General features: G+C 44.2%; 1 protein-coding gene and 1 long non-coding RNA gene across 9 annotated transcripts in view; one reads left to right on the plus strand and one right to left on the minus strand.

Annotated features, from left to right (window-relative positions):
* PLXNA4 (plexin A4) overlaps positions 1 to 21945 on the minus strand; it is a 525349-nt gene that overhangs the window by 133312 nt on the left and 370092 nt on the right. The gene's annotated exons all lie outside the window — the stretch shown is intronic.
* PLXNA4-AS2 (PLXNA4 antisense RNA 2) lies at positions 4210 to 7638 on the plus strand. The gene is made up of 3 exons (NR_134565.1): positions 4210 to 4251; positions 4710 to 4917; positions 7423 to 7638. It is a non-coding gene; the product is annotated as a PLXNA4 antisense RNA 2 (long non-coding RNA).

Consider the following 21945-nt stretch of genomic DNA (forward strand, 5'->3'; position numbering starts at 1 on the left):
CCTGGGCCAAGCTCTGAGCAGCAAAATCAAAATTCCCAGGAGCTGGGCATCTGTATTTTCTCAAGGCCCTGTACTCCTCCACTCATTCCCCAACCCATGACCCTGTTAATGGGCTGGGTTTGGGACAACTGGCCTTGACCATAGGGAGCAGAGGAGTTAGTGATTTGAGGATTATGCATTTTGCCCTGGAATCTGAGTGATACGGCAGGTGGAAGGCTATGGGGGCACAGGGACAGGGTGGGGGTGAGCATAGAGATAACACTGGACAGCTGTACATGGCTTCCCCATTCATAAGCAATTTCACAGCCATGGTTGCCTATGACCACATTCTGGTGAGGTAGCCAGCTCAGGGAGGACAGCCTCCAGTTTACAGATGAAGACACAGGTTGGGAGGGGTTAAGCGACTTGCTCAAGGTCACGCAGCCTGTGAATGGCAGTGCCAGGTCCCTAACACAAGGTGTCTGTGACCAACGGCTGCTCTATGACATGGCGCAGCCTCCTTTCTCCACTCCAGTCCCCTCTCTTGCAGGGGCCAGGTGGCTGTAACTCTCTCGTGATGAGCTGCAGCTGCCTAATTGGTTGCAGAGGCAAGTTGTCCCAAACATCATGGACAATGATGAAGGCAGAGTTGGCTTGGAGAATTTCCATTCAAATATATCTTATAATCACTCTTTGGCCAACATGTTTCCCTCACAAGGTCTGTCTCCTTCTACATGACACACATCTCCAAATAAGGCTCTCTATCATCTGGGGCCTGGCAAGATTCTAGACAATCGCTCAGTGTGGTGGTGCAATGTCACCCTGGCCAAACCCAGCAGGGGCTGGTATGTCTGACTTCATGAGACTTTACCAATTATGGAATTGTTTCACTGGATCCAGGGGCTGCAGACTTCAGGGCTGGCCATATCCTGAGGCAACTGCTGCCTGGAGCTTGGTAGGGAATCTACATCCTGTCTTGGGGCCAAGGGTATGGTCTGGGGACACAGAGCAGCAGGAGCCCACAGGTGGGCCAATTCTTTAGGACAACCTGACCTTCACAGGGCTCCCAGGCTGCTAGAACTGAGTGGGCCATTAGTTCTGACACAGATGCTCAGTTGTGGCCCTGTAGATTTGAAGGGAAGGCCGTGGGCTGGTTTACTAGGCCATGTTTTCCGAGGCGTCTTTCCAGCTATGCTGAAGAATCAGTCTGACCTTGCAGAATGTCTGTAGATGGAGGAATTGGAAGGGTCCCTCTCAGCTTTCTGTGCCATTCACCCTGGTCCAGCCAAGGGAGAATCCAGCAAAATCATTGACATGCAAAGGCATCTTTGGCTAGCATGGGCCTTAATAAAGCCAGCTCTCTGAGATGGAGGGTGTAGCTGGAAAAGGGTCATTGAAGGCAGAAAAGTTGGACAGAAAGCTCCACCCCGTAGGGCCCATCTAATCTCTGCAAGACTCCTGGCCTGGAAGGCCACCCTGGTCTGCCCTCATGTCGGGTCACTGAGACTCAGCAAAGCCTGGAGAGGGTCTCCCCACCCCTGGTGCTTCTCTGGCCAATGCTTCTTCAAGGAGTGAAGGGAATCTGAAAACAGTGCAGACCAAATAGCTGCTGTGTCGACGAAAGGCGGCCGGGGGCTGAGCAAAGGGTGGCATTGGTGACACCACAGGGTATGAAAGGTTAGCTTTGCATGCCTCAGCTCCCTATTAGATTTTCCCTTTTCTTCTTCCTGCTTTCATTCTTTATCAGAAATTGCCTAGTGGGCTCTCTCTCACTCATACTTCAGCACGAATGGGCTGGCGTCAGGCCGTTGCTGGCAGTGGCTGCTGCAGGCTTGTTTTTGGGAGCAGAGTCAAGGAGCAGAAGTGAAAGTCCTGTGTTCTCAATGACTCCAGGAGCAGGAGACCCTGCCTGACCATAGCCCCTGCCTTTGGGGCTGGCCTTTTCTCTTTTCTCACCACTCTCCTCCTTCCTGTCCCCTGTGATCAGTGACCCTGTGACACTCATGTGCACAATTCTGTAGGAGCTATGCTTAGACCTTTTGTGATGCTTGGAGAAACCACCCACACCCATCCAGACCCCAGATCCAGGAAAACACCTGGGAAGAAGACAAAAATAACTATGAAAGCGTAGGTTGGCTGCACTAACCTAATTCTAGGACCAAAGAATCCCAGAGTTGGGTAAAAACTTAGTTGCCTAATCCAAACTTTTATTGGATATAACCACTCAATGCAGATATTTATGCTATGTGTTTGCCAGTTACATCCAATTTGAAGAAAAATAATAAGAATAACATCATTAAATATAATCAGACATGACTTATGAAAGGGTTTGATGCAACATTAAACTGTGTTTACTGGTACTGTTGCCCTAATTTATTGCTTGTGTGCCACGGTAATCTAATCATAATTACAAAAACAAATAGCTAGGAGCATTCTTTACATCTCTTGGTGACTTAGCTTCTAAAGAGGTCCCTCCTCCATCCCTAGCAGACAGTATTGAGCCACTTCAGGGTTTAGAGTTCTTAGGATACCCTAAATGAATAGCACAGAAAGCTTGGATGGACCCTCCATCTACAGAGAGTCTGCAGGCTCAGACTTATTTCTCAGTACAGCTGGGAATATCACTCAGAGATCATGGCTTAGAAAACCAGCCCATCTAGCTGGGTGTGGTGGCACGCACCTGTAATCCCAGCTACTTGGGAGGCTGAGGCAGGATAATCACTTGAACCCAGGAGACAGAGGTTGCAGTGAGCCAAGATGGTGTCACTGCACTCCAGCCTGGGCAACAAGAGCAAAACTCCAACTCAAAAAAAAAAAAAAAAAAAAAAAAAAAAAAAAAAAAAGAAAAAAGGAAAAAAGAAAAGCAAAAGAAAACCAGCCCATGGTATTCCCTTCAAACCTCCAGGGCTCGGTACCTGTGGGATAAGGTGTGCATTCCCAAGGCCCTCCAGCCAGACTGGACTCACTGAAGCCTTTGTGCATCTTGGTTCTTCTATAGTGAGGGGCGGTCCATCCACTACCCACCAAATGAGACCTGCACACAGATGTTTATAGCAATGTTATTCATAATTGCCAACACTTGGAAGCGAACAAGGTGCCCTTCAGTAGGCGATGGATAAATAAATGGTGTGGTACATCCAGACAATGGAATATTATTCAGTTCTAAGAAGGAATGAGCTATCAAGCCATGAGGAGATATGGAGGAACCTAAAATGCATATTATTAAATGAAAGAAGCCAATCTGAAAAGCCTACATTGTGTGATTCCAACTATATGACCTGGAAAAGGCAAAAACTATGGAGACACTAGAAAGACCTGTGGTTCAATGAGATATAATCTCATACCTGTCAGAAAGGCTATTATTAAAAAGACAAAAAATAACAGATGGAGAGGTTGTGGAGGAAAAAGGACACTGATGCACTATCGGTGGGAGTGTAAATTAGTTCAGCCCCTGTGGAAACCAGTTTGGAGAGTTCTCAAAGAACTTAAAACAGAACTGCCATTCAACCTAGCAATCCCATTACTAGGTATCAACCCAAAGAAAAATAAATTGTTCTACCAAAAAGACCTGCACTCGTATGTTTATCGAAGTACTGCTCACAATAGCAAAGACATGGAGTCAACCTGGATGCCCATCAATGGAAGACTGGATAAAGAAAATGTGGTATATAGATACCGTGGAGTACTATGTACTCATAATAAAGAATGAGATCATGCTTTTTACAGCCACGTGGATGCAACTGGAGGCCGTTATCCTAAGCAAATTAATGCAGGAACAGAGAATGAAATACTGTATGTTCCCACTAATAGGTGAGAACTAAACAGTGAGTACACATGGGAACATAAAGATAAAGACGGGAACAACAGACGCCAGGGAGTACTAGAGTGGGGAGGATGAAAGGGGGCTGAGGGTTGAAAAACTGTCTATCTGGTACTATGCTCACTACCTGGGTGGTGGGATCATTTGTACACCAAACTTCAGCGACACGCGATTTACCCATGCAACAAACTTGCACATACATGTGTTGAACCTAAAATAAAAATTAAAAAAAAAAAAAGGATCTGTGGTTTTCAGGGGTTGGACGGGGTTGTGGGAGTGGAGAGGGATGAATGGGCAGAGCACAGAGAATTTTTAGGGCAGTGAAACTCCTCTGTATGATATCATAATGGTGGATACCTGTCATTACACATTTGTCCAAACCCATAGGATGTACAACCCCAGAGTGAGCCCTACCAAAGACTGTGGACTCTGGATGATAATGATATGTCAATGTAGGTTCATTGATTGTAACAAAGGGACCACTCTGGTTGGGAATGTTGATAGTGGTGGACAGTGGGAGGAGGCAGGGGGTTTATAGGACCTCTTTCTGCTCAAATTTGCTGTGAACCTAAAACTGCTCTAAAAAATAGTCTATTCAAAAATAGTAAGTTAGAAAACAGGCAGTATACTACTGTTTTATCATTCCTTTAATGAATACACCTACATTCAAATGTCCTTCCTTGCTCTCACACGGCCAAATCTGACATGCCCAGGGGACATGGAAGAAGGGGAAGGAGCAGAACTGCCACCAGTACTGGGGCTGCTGCAAAGGCTGAGGGACCCAATGTGGAGAGCCAAGGTTGGGAAGGATGCAGAGTCCTGCGGCTGCGATGCCTGCAGTGGGCTGGAACAGAAAAAGGCTACTCAGTAAAATTTGGCAACGGACACGAACTCACTTTCTCTCTCCTAGCTGTGCTTTTCCTGCAGGGACTGAACAAGGGCAGTGTGTGCACATGTGGGAGTGCCAGAAGCACCAGCGCAATCCAGATGTGCCCAGGCCCATCTGTGCGTGAAAATGCAGACACACCACACTATTTATCAATTAGTGTCTGCTGCTGCCAGTGTCACCAGTTCTCTGCCTGATGAATGATGCTAGGCTGGACAAGCCACACCCCAAGGTATTTCCACTGTCTGCAGCAAAGCCCACCAGGGGCTGTCAATAAACATCCCCAGCATAGCCCCCAGGCACTGAATGATGGGAGTGGGTCAGATGGGCACAGCCCTTCAGGACCCGGGCAGCTGCCGGCCAGCCTCGAGCAGTCCACTAAAAGAAACAGTTCCAGATGGTGCCTCCGAGCACATCCTCTGGGTAGCAGCCACTCTGCCCTAGTGCACAAGACATGGCTAGATTTCAGCCCCTACTCAGCCCCTTGGTGAGGAGTCCTTGTGCAGTGACCAACCTACACAACAGTATACTGTGGCTCTGTGAGCACCTACACACACAGTCCCAGGGAAATGAGTGTATCTCAGAGATCCAGGAGACCCAAAACCAATCTCAGCTCTGCCTTACTTCACCAGCAGAGGTTGACCAAATAGATCAACCTCTCAGGGCTGCCGTTTTCTCAGCTGTAAAATGAGAGGCTCCTTCCTGCTCTAACAATCCAAGATATATGGGAAATTGAGAGTACATTTCCCTTCCTTTCCCCGGGTTGCCCCCCTTTCCCTTCTTGAACTTGACCCAGCCCTTCCAGACCAGGCTAAAACTGAAAATCAATTTTAATTATAAAAATCCGTTTACTGTATCAATAAATCATTCTGGCTCGGCTTGGTGGTGGGGAGAAGGTTACACCTGGAACCAAGCTCATAAGTCACTCTCTCCCTCTGCCTTGCCGCTCGGGGGCTGCCACCCCTCTGCTCCCTGCTCCAATATTCATCTCCGTCATTAGGCTGTGGATTATTAATGATGTCCTGGGCTGATGGATCGGAGCCCAGATGCTCTGAAACACATTGTGCTGGTTGTAACTTGATTTTCAGTGGACCCCTTGACAGCAAACCTTGATGGGCTTTTTCCCCTTTCCATGGAGGGGGTAAAGAGGGGAGTAGGACTGTCCTTCAAGGTGGTCCCATGGCTGCAGGTAGGAAAGAGTTGGTGGCACAGACAAATGGGGTGAGCCTGCCTCTCCCAGCCCACTTACTAGGAGACAGCACAGTGTTATGTACATGTCAGGTTCCCATGGCAATGAGACTTTTAAATTAATTAACTGATCAATTAATATTGTTGTTAGGCTTATTCCTTGCGTGCACTAAGGAGAGAGGCACCATCTGCTTTGGATGGCATTTCGGGGGAAGGGGGAGCTCCTCTGCTGGCTTAAGCTCAGTGGGGAGGCTGGGGAGGAAGGCAGAGATGCTGGGTCTAAGGGGTCAAAACATCAGCGGACTGCCAGTCCCTAGAGACCACTTGTCGTTCATGACTCCCTAAGGTCAGTGGTTCAAGTTCACACAACTCTGCGTAACACCACAACCCAAGGTTTGGATGGAGCTGGGGGCGGGAAGCCACAAATAGTGGGTGGCTCAGTGGAACCAATTCCTCTTACTAGGGGGGTTGAAGTCTCACTTCCTTTATGGCATGTGACCCCTCGTAAGCTTCCAGTGCTTTATGTTGTCTGGGCCCCTGAGCCTTACATCCAGGCAGCCTGCACAGGACCACTGAGGAAAGCACAAGTCCATATGAGAGAGGGAGGCTGAGCTTCTCCCCTGGGTATCCACAGCTTTCCTGTTCTCCCTCACATCCATCTAGTTGGCAGAGATGCAAAATGGGAACTTCTGTGGAAAGGAACCTGGCATGGCTGGCCCACCACCAGTGGGGTGGGGACTGCAGGACTGGCCATGCCAAATGTGTTCTGGCCATGCCATCCACACTCACCACCACCCTGCACAGGCTTACCAAGAGGCAGGCATCTGCAGCACTTCGACCCTGCAAGCCAGCAGCCCCGTGGCACCCCATCAGAGCAGGCTGGGGCAGCAGCCTACTGTTTACTAGAGACATGCCTGGGCTGAGTTATGAGTGCCTCCGAGCCTCAGCTTCTTTACGGTAAAATAGGGGTAAGAAACCCTACCTGGGTTGTTCTGAGAGCTTGTCACACTCTAGTTCTGGTTTGGAAGCTTTACCCATAGTTAGAAGACAGAGCGGAGCTGACACTTACAACCTAGCAAATTGTCCACTGCATGCATTGATTTTGTGGGAGAGAAAACTAAAAGTAACACTCCAGATGAGATTTTAGGATTGTTTATGGAGCACTGGACTCAAAATCAAAAGACCTGGATTTGAGAGCTGACTGCCACATATCGGCTGGGTGATTTTTGAGAAGTCATTTAACCTTTCTCATCTGTCACATGAGATAATGGTGCCAACTTCAAGGAGTTGCTGGGTAGGTTCAATGAGAGATTGTGTGGAAAATCGCTTGGGAAATAGCAAGTACTAAACAGATCCATGGCATCATTTCATTTGCTACCACTGTACCGTTAGCAAAGATAATTTAGAGTTCGCCTGTATCAAGCTTTCTAGGGTGCATAAATGATAGTAACTATTAACTTCTTGATTCAGTTCTTTCACTGCCTTCCATTAAGGCACCAGAAGAGAAATCATTTTTCCTTTTTTGTTCATCTGCTCGTCATTATTTCAGATATCCCGCTGCACTCAGATACAAGACTGAAGAAGCAAGAACGTTATAAAAAAGAAAGAATGAAAAGAAAGAAGAAAAGCAACTAAGCCCAGAGATGGATCCCAAAACTGAAGAATTGGTTTAATTAAATTGAAAGCTCTGGTGCTTGTGGTAATTGCTATGAAGGAATCCATATCCCATCAGAACCCTCTCCCCTGGAGTTTGCTCCCTCTACTTTCTCTGCAGCAGGTACTAAAATTGCTTTTATCTTTAGGGAGATGCAGCCCACAGGGCCCAGAAATTATTGTGGGGTCAACTGTCTGGAGTGGGGCTTAGGGAGTAGTAGCAAATAATTCGGTCCAAACCTGGCTTTGACCTTGAATTTCCCCAACTTAGACCTCACTCTTTTTTTTTCTGCAAATGAGGCCTCATATGCCCTGGTTTGCAGAGACACTTAAAAGTAGGCAGTGCTTGCTTTTGTGGCCCCTCTGCTACTTCTGCTATACACAGGGCGAGCTGGGTTTATAACACCACCTAAACCACAGGCCACGCTGGGCTCCTCATGCCCTGAGCTACCTCATCTACTCTTTGGGCATCATTTGGCTCTGGGAAATACTGTCGGTCCTCCCCGCTTTTTTTTTTTTTTTTTTCTTTTTCTTTTTGTAGACAGAGTCTCACTGTGTTGCTCAGCCTGGAGTGCAATGGCGCCATCTCGGCTCACTGCAACCGCCGCCTCCTGGGCTCAAGTGATCCTCCTGCCTCAGCCTCCCAAGTAGCTGGGATTACAGGCGCCTGCCACCTCACCCAGCTAATTCTTGTATTTTTAGTAGAGATGGGGTTTCACCATGTTGGCCAGGCTGGTCTCAGATTCCTGACCTCAAGTGATCTGCCTTGGCTTCCCAAAGGGCTGGGATTACAGGCATGAGCCACTGCACCCAGCCCTGTCTGTCCCTTTTAATGCTAATAGAGAAACTTGATCCCAGAAGTAGATAAAATCAGCTTTTAAACAACGACAAATGCAACAAGCAATGGCAGGCCACAGGAAGCAATTAGGAATAGTGAGCGGGAAGAGCCCTGAAGAGACCTGGGTTTGAGTCCCAACCACACCATATACCAGGTTCATAACTTTGAGAAACTCTGGGTGTTGAGTTTGAATTGTGCTTTGGGGTCAGCTGGGTCCTGCCTGATTGTCCAGGTTTCAAAACCATTCTAAGCATCTAGATCAAAACAGGTTGTTTCCATACTTTCAAAAACACTATTTTGTTTACCAATTATCAAGCATTTGTTAAGTGTCTATCCCAAGCTAAGTACTGTGCTATATTGGTCAGGTCAGGCAACGCAGCACCTTAAAAGTTGAAGAGAAGCCTTTGGAACCATTATTCATTCATTCAATTGAATATGGTCAATTGGCATCATGAATCTAACAATTAGGAATTGGGTAGCAATATGAAGGGTGTGTATGGGAAGGATCAGGTGGCAGGAGAACAGCAAGAAGACAGGATTGGGGTCATTTTCAGTCCTGGGCAAAGAATTGAGCATGCAGACAAGATCAGTGGGGTCCTTCCTAGGTATTTATGAATCCCTGAATCTCAAACTGAATACCTTGTGTAGCAGAAGCGAGCGTACACAGACCCTAGCAGATACACATGTGAATCTGGGTAGTCCCTGAAGAACAGGACAGGGCTCAGCTGCAGGTACCGTGCACTATGACCCTGCCAGCCACACACATGGGCACTAACATTCTGAGCAGTCATCTAGAAGCCAGCAGCCAGTGCAGGATGGGGGTCCCAAAGGGCTTGGGGAATCCACAAACCACATGGTCACACCCTTAATGCCGAAGAGCAGGGGAAATGGAGGTGCACACAGGTCCTAACTATAACATGAAAAGGGATGGGTGGGAATAAGAAAAAGTCATTAGAAAAGAGGAGCTCTAAAATGGCTCAGAATCAAGAAGAAGTTGACTCAGTATCAATGTGTGGCTCAGCAGACATCAAATCCCATGATAAAGCCTTGTTTCCCTATGTTCACTGGGCTGGAACCCAAACTGAATCCAGCTCTAGGGAAAAAGAGAAGGTTTGGGGTAAGAGTGTGTGTATATGTGTGGTGTATGTGTCTGTGTTTGGGTGTGGGTGTGGGGGGGAGGGTAAGGAGCTGAATTTTAAAAATCCATCACAATCAATTATCACAAGTATGTCCATTTTTCCAGCCTGCTAGCCAGAGTCAAAGACTGTGTGCATTTGAAATCTCCAACCTTTTAAAACATTACTGTGAAGTTGAAAGTTCCTGGTGTCTTTTGATTAAACATCGTGCTAGGTAATGACTGTTTTACTTCTTATTCTTTTTTGCCCCCTTCAAATTACTGATTGTTGTCTGACATTAAGGCCCCATTTGCTCTTAGGAAATTAACAAGCCTACGAAACTCTTAATGAATTGAAACTCATCAAATGTTTGGAAACTATGGCAGTCTTAAGATTCTTTTCCTTTTAATCTATCTCTCTGTGAAATGTCTCATTTTTTCCACATATTCACTTGGATTCAGACAGCTGCACTTTAGGAATTAGGTTTTGAGTCTTGCTTATCTGAAGTAGCAGGGAGTCACCTGCCCACAGAGGTGCAAGGGCTTGAGAACTTGGGTGGTTTCTCCAACCAGCAACGTGCTTACTGTCTTTCTGCATAAGCATCGACCTGGCTGCACCAAGTGATTTCTACTTTCCATCCAAGGGTGCCTTAGAGCTTTAATACATTTGAAAAGACATTTCTAGGGTACAGTCTGGTCATCAAACAGAACTACTTCCATTTTGGAATAAAGTGACTGGGCTTCAAAGGGATTAATCTTGTGTATGGGCCATGCCACCTGCTAGGGAGTTGTGAGCTAATGGTGGGCATCCTTGAATCCCATCTTATCTGGATAGTTTCTCCTTTTCTAATGCCATCATCATCTAGCAGCAGACCATATACAGAGGTTCCAGTTGAGACCTTCAGCTTTGTGAAGGGCGGGAATTCCTGAAACTGTCGCAAGGCTTGGGGTCTGAGGAATACATAACCACCCAAGTAAGGAGCATCCAGGAGCAAATTCCACACTATCTCTTGCCTCAGAAGTCAGGAAAAATAATCAGGTAACTAGGAAACCCTGAGGAAATTTCAGTCATCAGTTCACCTTGGGAAGTGGAGTTGTTATGTGAGTGTTTATGTTCAGGTGTGTCAGTAGGAGGAGCCTGATGAGGATGAAGAATAATGAGCATAGCCCAAGGGGAACACTTTCCTCTCTAGTCAACAACCATTTCCAATCCTTGGACAACCAACCACACAGTCGCAAAGCCAGGTGTCCTTGGACACATGTGAATGGGGAGAGGGGTGTGCCCAGCTCACAGAGCCCTCAGCCCTAGAGCAGTTCTGACCTTGACTTAGTATATCTTCCAGCTAATCATGAGTCTAGACACACATGCCCCAAATAGTCTTGGTAGAGGCTTCCCAGGGTGATCCACTGCTGTTAAGCTACATGGTGGAGCTGGGAACCACATGGCAATCCTTGGAAACATCATGCCATCATCTCATGGTATTTAGATTCTCAGCTCAAAACTTAGAGCTCTGCCATTGGCTTCTTATATGATATGGAATCTCAGCTCTTCAATCCTCAGAATGCAGGAAATGGTTTCTTACATGTATTCGGAAAACAAGCATACTATGTAGAACAAATAACACCTCAAACCAAATGGAGGCTGTTGCGAGTCCTCACCATAATAAAGCAAAGGAAAGAACCCGTGGGGTTTCTGCCCATGTCTGAGAGCTGAATTCTGGCTTCCTTGCTCCTGCTTACTTCTTAGCAGCAGGACCTTGGCCATCAAGAGTTAACTCCATCTGACTCTAATGCACGCACTGCCACCCAGAACAATAAGCCAGGCAATGGAGAATCCTGCCAGGACCAGTATTGATTGGCTTGCTTGATTAGTTGGTTAATTGAATATCACTGCTTTCTAATATAATTAAAACAAGATAAATACTGGGGCTTTGTCCCGTAAGCAAGTGCCATTAGTGATCATGGTACACACCGTGATTAAAAATGCAATCGACTGGGAGGGTTATTTATGAACTTGCCAGCCTCTAGTGCCACTCCATGGTTTGCAGGGCCTTGAGATACAACGTGGCTGGCATAGAGCTCCCTAACCTGTCATGACTGTGCTGGTCTCTTAAGAAAGGAACTTATTTCACAGGGGAATGCATGCAGGTAAAACTATTTTATGCTTGCCCCTAGCTCCCTTGCTTTAAAGTATCAGACAGTGAAACTACAGCACCATGGAAATACCATGCATGACAGTTTCCTCCTTTGCCTCACTTTCCTCATTCCCAAATATAAGACTGGCTTTCTGCCCACTCTGTGCAATTCTTTATTTTACCCTCATCCAGTTTCACCATGAGTTTGAAATTTTGTTTGGATCACTGGTCTGCTCATGAGACACTTATGAAAAATTACCTGAAGCAAGGCTAGTTGGAGTGTGGCTGGCGGGAGGGTCATGGGTCTTATTTACATAGGAGCAGAGGGGATCACCCCACAGGCTGCTAAGAGAGAGAGCTAAATGCTTCATGTGAACAGCGTAGGTGCCTATGGACTAATCTACTCCCACATGACATCTCAGACTGCTGGTGCCTCCAGGAGGAGGAAGGCTGCCAGGCTTCCTGGATGACAGATCTCAGCCCCCTTTTCTTGGATAGCATCTGTTGCTTCCTCAGTTGACCAAGGAATGTTTGTGGCATGTCAACTGCTGGCCTTCCTGGTGAATGTGTGGTGTGGGGAAGGAGTATCATGTCACCTTTTCCTGAGTCCCACTTATTGATGTTTCAGCTGTCCCTGTTTTGAGCAAGGGGACACGGTAGCACTTCATTTAGGGCTGGTGAAAGTCTCAGTTGGCAAGGCACTTGGAATACCTCCAAAAGTGGGGGCTATGTAAAAACAAAGTATTATTATTCTATTAGCTTGTGGTCTTAATATTTGGAATGTGTCCACATGACACTGGACACATGCGTCCTCCCCCACCTCTGGCTCTCCACATTGGGTCCCTCAACCTTTGCAGCTGCCCCAGTACTTGTGGCAGCTCTGCTCCTTCCCCTTCTTCCGTGTCCGTGGGACATGTCAGATTTGGGTGTATGAGAGCAAGGAAGGCCATTTGAATGTAGGTGTATTCATTAAGGGAATGATAAAATAATAGTACACTGCCTGTTTTCTAGCTTACTATTTTTGAATAGACTATTTTTTAGAGCAGTTTTAGGTTCACAGCAAATTTGAGCAGAAAGAGGTCCTATAGACCCCCTGCCTCCCCCGCCCCCACCATCTGCCCTCCCATGACGACAGCCTTCTCCACAGCTCCACCAGACCGGTGAGCAAACATTACAGACCAGATGAGAGTGAAAGGATGCTGCTCATGATGCCTAGAGTGGCATGGGACACCACATCAGCTCTCTTCAGAACTGGGTAGTGTTTTGATGACAGGTTAGGCATGTCTGAAAGAGCCAGCAGGATCTGAAGGTGCAGATGCAATCCTACTGTAGAAATAACAAAAAGCTGACCCACTGGTGGGACTCTGACACATTAATTTTTTTTCTGCCAAAAAAAGATCTTTTTTTTTTTCTGCCAACTGTTGCCCTTCCAAAAACATATCCCTCTGCAGGTTTTATTTTATTTTTGTCTTTTTCTGGGAATGTGGCTTCATTTTGTTGTCCTTTTCCCTGAGTGGCTGCCAGGTTTGGATGAACAGGAACACGCTGCTGGGATGTCTGATATTGCTATTGCTAGAGAGAAGAGAAAGGAATGAGGCAAATAGGGAGTCCTGCAGAGGGGAGAGGGAGCTGTCCCTAGTACATTATGGGAAGTCAGTGCTGAGGCCCCTACTTTTAATGGGAAATCACAAAGAAACGTGCTTGAGGGATTGACAGGAATAATAAAAAACACCAGCATGCTCAGAATCCATTCGGTTCACCCTCAGGTTTCTAAGAACTAAACTCATCGTCCTAAATGCTTACTTGGAGAGAAACCACTATACGTAAAGAGACATGTATATATGAAGAAACAAGGACATAGCCCTACCTACAGTTTTATTTTTATTTTGCCATAAAATAAATGCTTATTAATTTCCATACCACGTATGGAGAGAGCTGCCACATGTGAATTTCTTTTAGCAATAATTGCCGTGCCTGGGACTCCTTAAGTTATATATACCGCGGGAATAGTTTCCAAATAAGAACCCAGAGAGAGGGAGAGATTCACAGACAATAGCTTAAAAAGTCTAGAAATTATAGACCGATTGAGGTCAGCAAGAAACAAATTATTCAATATATCCCCTGAGGGCTAGAGCCAGACTTTCCCCTATGATTCCAAAATTACTTCGCAGTTTCATTAGGGTGAAAGGCAGTGCAGTCTCATGAGTTCAGAAAGTAAAGGTTGTTCCTTAAAATTTAGATAGACTTGACAACCACTTAGGATGGCATTTTGGCATTCTGTCCCTGCTCATCAAAGAAGTTGCTCAAATTTGTGGGATAGAGGAATGAGAGCAAGAAGTATTTTAATTGCAATACCTTGTGTTGTATATATGTAATACCTCTATGAAAATTCAGGAAATCAGTACTGCTAATAAACCTGATGTACAGGCAGAATCATTTACAATGCGGAGGAGCTGTCCTCAAGTTCTGGTGCTGAAATACAGAACCAAAGAATTTTATCATTTAAAGTGCCTACACAATATGAATGAATGTTTTCTCCTGGCTCGAGTAGAGTTGCTGCTCAACCATCTATGACCAATATAAAGCTAAAAGAGTACTTGTTCCATCAATAGAGAATTATAGAAAAATGTTTTTTGAAACTTTTCAATGCAGTGGAGATGAGTAGTACTCACTTACATCTGGTTCTTATTTTTTTCTGAGACACATAGAAATGGAGCTTCCCTACCCCCTTGCAGTTATGTGAGGCCATATGACTATCTAGTGGAATGTAAGTGAAAGTGAAATGTATAACTGCTGCACCAAAAGACTGAAGTCACTGTGTGACCATTCAGCTCTTTTCCCCCCACAGCAACAATAATATTGACCACGTTTGAGACAGAAGAGCCACAAGAGGGAATTAGCCTAAATTCCTAAGCGCCCACCTGGAAAGGATCCTCCTTGGAAGATCTGTCAGATCCATAGTAAACTTTGAATGAAAGAGAAATAAAATGTTATGTGTTAAAGTTCCTGAATTTTTGAAGCTTATCCTATTCTATCCTATCTCATCTTAATATACTAAGTTATTCATCTGGATGTCTAAAAACCATGACCATCACAATAAAACCTTACACTGCTATCAAAGTAATCAAATAAATAGATAGGGAAACAAGGAACTTTAGTCACTTAGGAAAAAAAAAAAAAAAAGAAACATACCTGACAATGTCCCCTCCCTCCACCCCAGTGGTTACTGGTACCTAGCTTTATTTGGGAAAGCAACAAAGGAAATATTTCCAGAGGCTGAGGCACCTCTTTGGTATAGAAGTCCATTTCTGCACTGCCTTTTAAAATGGTCAAATAATCCATGTTGAATTTCTGATAATCAGAGTTCTATGTATAAAGAAGCCAAGGTCAACACCACTGCCATGAAATGATGGATGTAACTATCAAGCAGAGGTCAAAGAGGATCAGAATTCAACAGAGACCATGGGATGTGGTCAACAGGAGGTCACAGGCTACCTTTTTAAAAGAGTAGCTTCATTGGAAAAACCAGATTACAGAGGGTTGGGGAAAGAGTTAGAGGTGAAAAAATGAAAGTAGAAACTCTAAACTACAGGCTCAAATTACGTGGTGGTAAAAGGAAAGAAAGAAAACTGTAGTTTAAAAGAGAAAAATAAAACTTGAGTTTGAAGGTAGAGGTGAAAAAACAGATGATAGGAAGAAATGCAAGATTTTGAAAATTTGGACAGAAAGTCCCATGTATGATTGAAGGAAGGAGGGATCAGAGCACAGGGGGAAGACACTTGTTACCAGGAGGAGAAACACATGAGGGTTTAGGTAGGTTTTTCTTCTGCATTTCTCACTTGAGTCAGTGCATCAACATACAACTAACTTCTAATGGCCAAGAACTCCAGGAATCATCGCAAACATGTTTTATGTCCTTCAGTCTTCCCTGCATTCTGTTATCATCAGTGCTATTTAACCTCCTCAATATCTCTTAACCTATACCTTTGTCTGCATTTCTACAGCCTTAAATCAGGACATTAATTTTGATGGAGCTATTCAAATCATAGCTTTACAAGTACATTACAAACTTCTCAGTTTCTCATCTGTAAAATGGAAACAAAAACAACTAATTTTTTTAAGCACTGCTGTGAAGATTAAATTAAATAAGCCCCTGGCAGTGGATCACAAAAACTTCTTGCTTGGTATCCCTAGCCCTGGATTTCCTAGTTTTTATTTATTCACTATTTTGTCACCAGAATGATCTGTTTGATCTGTTTGACAATCAAGTCTTGCATAGTTTCATTCCTGCCTAAATCAAGTCAGTTGGTCTCTTTCATTTATAGAGTAAAATCCAGGGGTTCTTTTAGTATGATACTAGGATACAGTATGATACAATTGTTGCCCAACTCTTCAGTCTTCACCAATCTCTCATCTTAACTTATGTCCCAGCAACATTACACTTCTTATAGCTTCCCTTAAGACACAGTAATGTTTCAAAGTTTCCTATGACTTTGTAATGCTGTTCCTTCTGCTGAAATGTCCATTTTCTCTCTGGTTTTCTCAGCAAAATCCTATTCATCCTTGAAACCCAGCTCATATTTGGCCTCCTTAAGAACGTTCTTCATCGCTCGTTCTCCATGTTACCTCTCCATAATGTATTCACTTCGGTTGTCACACTTAACTCATTATATTGTCATTTATGTCTTTGCATGTCAGCTTTCAATAATCATGAATGCTTTGAAGGGCAGGCTGTGTTTTATTTAACTCTGTAACTCTCTTTCCTAAAGCCATATCTACTACCTGGTAGGTATTCATCAAATGTTTGACAAATGAATAATTGAACAAATGCATTTGCCTGTATGGAGCAATCATAAAACGGTCATGAAGATGATCCCTACATAGCCCTCATCTTCATGGAGCAGATGTCATCCACTCTGAGTGATGTCTGTGTTTCTGGAATTGTTGAAAGTGGAAGCATTGGAACCTAATGTTGGGGGAAAATATAATACACTAAGCTCACACTGGAAACTCTTTGTTTGGAACTGAAACCCTTTAATTCATGCCTCATTGGTTTTCAACACACACACACACACACGCACACACACACACACGCACGCACACGCACACACCTCCCATCACTTTGTCTCCAGAATCATATTATAGGCTATCTCAACCTTGAGAATTGCACCCAGCTTTGCTGACTGACCTCAACTATGTACTGCTCAACTTTTCTTCTGACCTTGATTCTAGAATATAAGGGAAGCTATATTGATGAACAGCAAGATCCTCACTTAGTTATCTGCTGGGGTAGTATTATGCTGCATGGTAATTCCGCTTAGAGGCAAAGAGGAGAGGGGAGGTAGATCAGGGAAGCTGATGGCCATAGTGTTGACTGAGAACCTAGGACTCCCTACTTGAGTTTCCTCTCCATAGCCACAACTTGCTATGAGACTTCAGCTTGTTTCCCCCCATTTATAAAATGGAGAGAACTCTGTAACACCAGCTCTCATCTATCTACAAAAATAAAAAATGGAAAGAGACAGCCTCCAGCTTTTAAAGTACTGAAGGGGCGTTAAGCAGCAACTAAAGTCCAGAAGTCTCACTTGAGGAAATGAGAACTTATGCTCATGTAAAAACCTGGGTGAGAGTGTTTATAGGAGCTTTATTTATAATTTGAACTGGAAACAGCTCAAATGTCATTCAGTTGGTGAATGGGTACACTGAGGTTCACCCATGCCATAGAATACTATTCAGCAGTAAAAAAAAAAGGGGGCAACAACATGGATAAAGGTTAAAAGCACCGTGTTGAGTGAAAGAAGCCAATACAAAAGAGTATGTATTGTATAATTCCATTTCTAGGAAATTCTAGAAAAGGCAAAAATATGGTGACAGAATACAGGTCAGTGATTTCCAGGTGCTGGAGACAGGGAGAGAAGACTGACAGCAAAGGGTCATAAAAGAATTGTGGAGAGTGATGGCAATGTTTATATCATAAGTGTAGTGGTAATTACGCTAATATGTATATATATATATATATGTATATATTTCTATTTTAAGACCTATTGATTTTGAAATAATTTTGGACTTACAAAAAAGTTACCCAAATAGTAGAAAGAGCTTCTATATCCCCTTCCCCCAGCTTTTCCTAATGTTAAGAGCATATATAACCATGTCCTATGCTCAAAACCAGGACATTAACACTGGTACAATACCACGACCTAAGCTCTAGGCCTTATTCTGATTTCGCCAGTTCTTCTATTTAATTTCTAATTCTTTTCCAGGGTCCCCCATTCCATTTACTTGTTATAACTCCTTTGTAACCTCATCATCTCTCATTTCTACCAAGTCCTCAATCCTTCATTGTCTTTATGACTTTGACACTTTTGATGAGTACTAGTTGGTAATTTTGTAGAATGTCTGTCAATTTGGGATTGTCTGAGGTTTTCACATGATTAGAATGAGTTATATATTTTTGGCACGAATACCACAGAAATGATATTGTGCCCTTCTCAGTGCATCCTTTTTTTTTTTTTTTTTTTTTTTAAGAGACAGGGTCTCACTATGTCACCCAGGCTGGTCTTGAACTCCTGGCCTCAACTAATCCTCCTACTTTAGCCTCCCAAATTGTTGGGATTACAGGTGAGAGCTATAGCACCCAGCCTCAGTGCATCATATCAAATTGTCATGATGTTGTCAAGTCTTGTTACTGATGATATTAACTTTGATCATTTGGTTAAGATGGTTTCTGCTAGGTTTCTACACTATAAAGTTATTATTTTCCCTTTGTAGTTAATAAATATTCAGGGTCAATACTTTGAGACTATGCAAATATCCAGTTTCTCCTCAAACTGTTGCCCACAATTTTGTATCCAGTAGTGACTCTTCTCTATAATTATTATTGTAACATAATTAAAGATTTTTCCTCTTTTCTTCCACATTTAAAAATCTTGATTTTGTCTTCTAATTGTTTAAAATCTTTTTATTTTGAAGCAGTTATAGAACCACAGGAAGTTGTAAAGATAGTAAAGAGATGTTCCATGTACCCTATACCCAGCTTCCCCCAATGGTTATATTTTACAAAATCATAGTGTACTATCAAATCAAGAAATTGACATTTCTTTAAAATGCGGGTATAGTTCTATGTCATTTTATTACATGTCTAGTTTCATGAAACCACCACCACAATCAACATCCAGAACTATTTCATCACGACCATAAAACCAGACACTTAAAATTGGTGATCAGAGGCACATTATACCTCAGTAAAGCTGGCAAAAGACTGAAACCAAAAACCACCCAAACATTGCCAGGATCATGTTACACTAAGCACTCTATAACTATTAGCTCTCATACTGTTGCTGTTTTATCACAGAGAAATGCCAGTCCCAGAAAGAAACAAAGGGGCAAGGGACCTCTCCTTTTGCATGCCTCCCTGATTGCTGCTATTGTGGATGGATTCGATGGAAATGAGTCGCCAGCACCTGGGTCTAGCACTCCTCTAGCTCTACTGGAGTGATTCCAGGGTTGTCACCCCCATGCATGTGACATGTGACTCTCATGCACATCAGCATGGGCTTTCTTTTGCTCCCATTTTCCCTCTCTGCAGTGACTATATTTTGTTATTTGCATATACCAAGTGCATCTTGCTTCCGAGTCTTTTCCATTGCTGTTCCCTCTGTCTAGAGTGTTCTCCTTGAAGACATCTGGTGGCCAGCTCTCATTTCATTTATGCAGAAAGAGCTTCCTGGGCCACCTAGTGTGAACTGGCCCCTCCCTGCAACCCTTAGTCCCAGTTTCTCTCTATCATGTGACTGTGTTATTCCATTATAGCACTTATTGCTGGAAGAAGCTGTCTTGGTTATTTATTCTCTGCTGTGTTTATTGTCTATCCCTGGTCCCCTCCAGAATGTAAGCTACATAAATGCATGAGCATAGCCTGTTTGGTCCACTGCTGCCTCTCCACTCTGTCAAAGGAATATGAGTGGGGACTTTCTAAAATTGTTCACACCCCCAGAAGAGTTTTTCTACCACCTTCCTTCTCATTCTCTCTCCTCTTTTCTTCTCTTTCAGCTCTCTGTCTCCTCCTGCTTCCAACACACACCCATTGAGATGGAAAATAAAGTATAGCATATCATTAGTGGAATCACAAGCAAACCCAGAGACTTCCTCCTACTCCCACCCTTTTCTGCAATGACCCCCCCTTTCCCACCCTTTCCCTTGGCGCCCTGCCTGTTGTTGATGGGTGCCTGCAGGAGGAGTGCCCAGAAAGCAGGGCTCTCCCTGAGTCGTCCCTAAGCAGCTTATTCATGAACTGCATGTAAGTTAATAGAAAAGGTTTCCCCAGAAATCTGCAGGTTTCTTGCCGTTCCCACTCTTCCCCTTTGCCCTGTTACAATCTGGTTAGCCCTGTTATTATTATTTCTGTGGAATGGCATATATCCGTGCCATTAACTCTACATATTTCTAGGGGAAAAAGGATGGAGAGGAAGAAAAGACTGATTATTTATCAAAGAAAAGACATTTTTTCCTCTCTCTAGACAGCCAGGTAGATTTTCTGAACTCATATCTGCCATGGAAATGGGGCTGCTGCTTCTGAAATGAGTCCTCTGTGTTGGGGGTGGGCTCTGTTTTTACGGCCAGTGGGTAATAGCATTTTCTGATTTATGAATTGGCATCTGGGGGAGGTGCTGAGCCCCTAGATGGATTCATCGTGGGGAGAACAGCCATATAAATACTCCTGTCACATAAAATTATTGTTCTCATTTTGATTTTTAAAGAATTTTTTCTTTTGCAAGATGGTGGGATTGAGAAGATATTAGTGAGGAAGCAGGAGAGGAAGGAGTCACTTGGCCCCTTTTTCTTAGAAGGCAAACATTTTTGTCTGGACATTCTCCAGAAACACGGGGTTGCTTAGAAGTCAATTACTAGAATGGTTTACTTATTCAGGGAATACTTGGCACTGTGGCTTAAGTGGGGGAAGCTGGATCTCAGGAGTTTGACCCAGGCTCCAATTGGGAATTTTTTTTAACTGGTGAAGAAAGGGTCATTTCATGTAAGTTCCTCCCACCTTCCCTAAATCAGTGTGAAGATGCATTTAAATGCACCAGATGCTTATGGGTAGCTGCACAGTACCAACCACCATGCAGGTCCTGTGAGGGCTGCAAGCCAATTATAAGCCCTGGTGTCTGCCCTGCAGGAGAGTGCAGTCTGGAGGATGAGTGTGAGGATGACTCAGTATAGGACACAGGCTTTGAATCACGCACAGGATTCCCCTGGGGAGATGAGTCCTACGGTGTCCTGAACAGATGGCAGGAGGAAAGCAGAGGCTCAGGAGGGAGGACACACACCATGTGGCTGCCTAGAAAATGAGAAACTGTTGGCGGTTTATGCTTTGTGTTTCAGACACTTCTCTCCAATAAACCTGTAAACTTTCTGAGGACGAGGACCTTGCCATAGACTTGTTTGGTTCTTACCCCTTTTCTTCCCTGACCTTGAGGCTTAACACCTAGCAGGGCAGGAGAAACCACACTGTTTTCTAAGAAAGGCCAGATAGCATATATATTTTAGACTTTGCAGAGGCCATATGGTCTCTGTCTCAACTATGCAACTCTGCTGTTGTGGCCAAAGCAACCGTAGACCACACATGTAAATGAATGGGTGTGACCAAGTTCCAATACAACTTTATTTCCAAAACCAGGTGGTTGATCAGATTGGGAATGTCGCTTGCCAGCCTCTCTACTGGGTGAACAATAAGTGCCTGCTGAATTGAGTTAAAATGATGTCAATTAATAATAAGTGTACCTCACTTTTTAAAAATGTCAAATATGACCTGACAAAGTATGCAAATGCAGAACATGTGAAAAGAGTTATTTTCTATGCAGAAAGTTCCTGTGGCCAAATAACATACAATCTGTTCTATGAACACATGTCAAGAAATGGTCCCTTACATACAACCTGAATCTCAGAATTTTCTCCAGTGTGCAAGATATGGCACAGACACTATCTTTTTGCACGGCGCCAGGCTTCAGAGGGCAGTAAAAGGGAAAGAATCTCCCTTCTCATTTCATAGGCCTGAGGAGGAGCTGTGCCAGAGTCTGAGACTGGGAGGCAGACTCTTCTGGATGGGGGCAGCCCAGGCTGTTGGGCTGTCTCTAACCAGTATGTCTAACTATGGGAGGCTTCTGTTCATTTCTTTATTTCTTTGTTTTCAAGGCAGAATAAACTCCAAATTCCAAGGGTCAACTAAGCGCCTACCACCAGCCCATGCATGGCCACAAAAAGCCTTCGTGTCATCAGTCAATGCCAACTAGTTAATAATGACCAGCCTCTTCACTAATGGCCCGAGGCAGG

This window comes from Homo sapiens, chromosome 7 (genome assembly GCF_000001405.40).
Source record: "Homo sapiens chromosome 7, GRCh38.p14 Primary Assembly".
NCBI lineage: Eukaryota > Metazoa > Chordata > Mammalia > Primates > Hominidae > Homo > Homo sapiens.